At 38.9% G+C, this 3,729-nt stretch overlaps 2 annotated features.

Annotated features, from left to right (window-relative positions):
• Positions 3,055–3,349: an enhancer, noted in NCBI's record as "tiled region #11026; K562 Activating non-DNase unmatched - State 24:Quies". NCBI's record gives its function as "activates a minimal TATA promoter and a strong SV40 promoter by Sharpr-MPRA in K562 cells {active_cell/tissue: K562}" and the evidence as "EXISTENCE:reporter gene assay evidence [ECO:0000049][PMID:27701403]".
• Positions 3,055–3,349: a silencer, noted in NCBI's record as "tiled region #11026; HepG2 Repressive DNase matched - State 8:EnhW". NCBI's record gives its function as "represses a minimal TATA promoter and a strong SV40 promoter by Sharpr-MPRA in HepG2 cells {active_cell/tissue: HepG2}" and the evidence as "EXISTENCE:reporter gene assay evidence [ECO:0000049][PMID:27701403]".

Below are 3,729 nucleotides of genomic sequence, written 5' to 3'. Positions count from 1 at the left end.
AAAGTCCTGTGTGCATTAGTCTGGATTGCTTGAGTATATATTGCACACTTAATTAAACCTGTTATTTCTGGAAACAAAAGCAAAACATTTAGGAAGAAATGGCTGAGAGAAACCATTGCTTTTCCAATAATGTGACATGTGAATAATTTAAGAAATCGTTTAAAGCCATGCTTTATTTCAATTGGTTTCTGAACCCCTTCATTTTCAGACTGTGCTTTTATTTTCTTCATCTACCATTTCTTTGTGCCACTTCTCTTTGAAGTTATCTGTTATCCTTAAAAAGGAACTGGATGGGAATTAACTTGCTTCTGACTATATCCATTTATCTACTTGAAGATCACTGTGGCAAACTATGAAAAATGTACTAGTTTTGAAAAATGACAAAGCTCCCAGGATCGAAAAGGTGCTTATCCTCTCACAGGAATCTATTTGTTCTGTTATTTTGCTTTCCTTGGCAGCTAGGGCTAGATTCTTCAAAGGGAGATGCAGATTCTATTTTTCTTTATCTTTCCTACCATGAAAATAATGCCTTGCTTCTGCATTGACAAGGTTTTGCATCAAAAGTCCTTTCCTATTTGCACTGCAAATAAAAATCACAACCCCATTGTAAATTGCTTTAACACCTTTTCAACAATCCAAACCTTATGAGGAAAGATATGCTGGCTATTGTGTGTACATTATAAATGCTGCACAGAGGTGTGTTTATAAGGAGGTTGTGTGTTTGATCTTCCATTCCTCAGTCCTTCCCTAGGTGTTATCAGCATGTAGAAAATGGAATCTATCTAATCTATTCTGACTGAATTAAATACACCAGATGTATTTCACTTTGAATTTCAATTGGTCCAGAACCTTTGTCTTAGCCACAGAAAGTCAGTAACTTAGCTGTTTTCTTTCCTCTTGTGTTATTTTCTTCGTGGTCCAAGACTCTGGACAAATATGATGCCAAATGCAGCTGCTCTTGGAACTCACGGCTTCCCAAACCTCAGGAGACACAGGTCAGTTTTCCCCAGAATTCTCTCATGTCCCATTCCCACAATGACATAAATCCCATGGAATCCTTCTACCTGGCTTGAGATAGAGAAGAATGAGTAAATGAAAGGATAACGCTAGAGCTTTCACATTAGATGGTCACATAACAAGAGACAAAAAATGGTCTTTCATTATCTGAGAAGTCTCTTGTATCTAGGCACAGGGTCACAATATTGGATGTTGACCACCTCTTTAAAAGTCCTGTATAGATGGTTTATCTTTTCCCATTAGAATGTTGGTGTCCTATCATTTATCATCTATCAACATTGAGATCTAAAAGGAAACTAACAAAAGTCTCATTAATATCTTGTAAATCATGCATAACTTTGATAAAATAAAAACTAAATTACGATAGATAAATGTTTAAAGAGTGAAAAACGAAGAATGATTGTAGACTTTGGTAGAAATTCCTATTGTGGCACAACTATGGGACTCTAGAAGATTTTTTCCTCTTGCTTTGATTAAAAGTGAAGTTTCGCATGAAATAGTGTGATATTTCATCTCTAGCTCCAAGGGAGGCTCTGTGGAGACTGTCGTTAACCAGTGTGGTCAGGCAAACCAGCAGCTTCCCTGATTAGTTCCTCCTGCTGTTCAGTATAGACAAAACTTCAATCACAGGATGTTCTGGAGAGCTTGAGTGTCCGTATTCCAACTGTGCTACCTAGAAAACTGTCAAGTGTCTGTAAATATTTTGCAGTTCCTTAGGAAAAAGTGTTAGCCTTCTAAAAAACAGCAGAGTGTGATTGGTCCTGCACCTAGCCCTGGTTCTTGGTGGACTTGGTTTGCTTGCTTATTCTTATCATTCCATCTGTCTGCTTAATCCCCTATCTGTCTCTGCTTCTCTCTTTATGTGGTATATGCCAAAGAGTACTGTTCTTCTGACACATTATCTTCCTCCTAGAATCTGCAAAAAATCACTGATTATCCTTGATTGACTCATTCATGACCTTAGAAGGGACTGGAAAGTCAGTCTCTGCACAGAAGAAATATGCCTGGATATGCAGCGGGGATGGAAACGGGATTCCCATATGTTATTCCTCAAAATTCTCAGAGTTGATCATCCTAATTTAACATTCCCTTTTTCTCACTCCCATTGCTGAGGTGAAAAAAGAAACTTAGTCATCATTACATTAATTCCAAGTGCTTTCTGATCATCTTGCCATTTTAACATGCTTTGTCCCATTTTCTCTCCCACATGGTGAGTTTGAGTCTTCTGAGAGAACTAACAACTTCAGAGCCTTGAAATGTGCATCCACCACACAAAACTATCTGTAAATACATTGTTTGTTTTGAACAAACCTTCTGTTCTTTTTCTATTTGATTAGTAAGAATAATCAAACATCTAAATAAAAATCATTGTCTGTTACCACTGGAGAGTGTCCAATCCAGTCACAGACAGCTTGGAAGGCTGGCAAAAGGCACCATGCATTGTGCTGGGGGACATCCAAGCCGGCATGGAGGGACCTGTGTGCCATCTGCCCTCACCACTTCTGCTCGGATCCCAGTCCTATCATTTTAATCTCATTAGAACAAGATTCTTGTAAAGCCAAGAGATGAGATTTAGCTGCAGCTCCCAATTTCACAAACTAAAGAAAGCCTCACAATGAGGAGACCAGCTTCTTGAAATAGCTTGAACAACCTCTCAGCTCTCAGGTACAAAGCTGTGTCTCAGTACTGCATGTTCAATAAAGGGTGGAGTACCTTTTCTCTGTGATTTACTTTTCCACACCATGAGATTTGGGAGGAGTTGAAACCTTTCAGGTTATAACTGTATGTTCTCCATGCACGGTGCTGGAAGATGTTATGTGTTAATTGTTTGTTGTTTTAGAGCAAAGCAGGCCCACTGAGAAGCTGTCCCTTTAATATTTGTACAGCTGCATTTACCAGGAAGCAAAGTTCATGAGAAAAAAAAAAAAGCTGAAACCCTTTCTTCACAAAATAAAAACACATTATTGACACCCTATTTAATGACAACATTCAACTGTTTTTTTTCCATCTTTATTTCCCCTCTAAGGCCCAGCTTATTGGCTCATTATGTGCCTGGAACATGAAGGATGACAAGGAGATGGAATTCTGGCTCAGCAGTTTGAGAGCCCAGCCCCCAACTTGCTCAGCCCTCCCCCCTCCTCCTCTCTTGCTTTTCTCTTCTCTCTTCCCCCGCTCTCCCGCCTCCTGCTGCAGATCTCTTTCTGCTGCCTGGCAACCGCACCACAGGCAATGTCACACAGGATTGCTTATTACAGCTTCAGAAAAATAAACAGGAGGAGGAAATTTCTTGCTGTTACATTAGAACTATTATGTACAATGTTCCAAAGCCAGGTAATTCCAAGAGTGATATTATAGTAGAATTTTGCACCATGGTGCCTAGGTCTTTCTTGCATAGATAGAGAGAAGGGTGAAGGAAAAATGAAAAGAGAGTTTTTCGATGGCTTTTAGCCAGCAATGTATTTAATACATCCATTTGGTTGGCACAGACTTCGAATATAACTATTTCTGAGCTTTGAGGACTTGAGCAAGAAATGTTACAGTTGTTATTTGAAAAGTGCAATGTGAATATGAAGAGTAAGCTTCTACTGCTTACCATTATTATCTTCACTCATAATTATCGTGTAGATGGTTTTCACTAGACTTAAGGGCATCACGTCTCATATCTGGTAAGGCAGACAAGACCTATCTTTCCTTTAGTATCATTTATTTGCT

The sequence above is a fragment of the Homo sapiens genome, chromosome 3, assembly GCF_000001405.40.
Source record: "Homo sapiens chromosome 3, GRCh38.p14 Primary Assembly".
Classification (NCBI taxonomy): Eukaryota; Metazoa; Chordata; class Mammalia; order Primates; family Hominidae; genus Homo; species Homo sapiens.
Note: the sequence above shows the minus strand (reverse complement) of the source record. Positions and strands in the feature narration are given on the sequence as shown.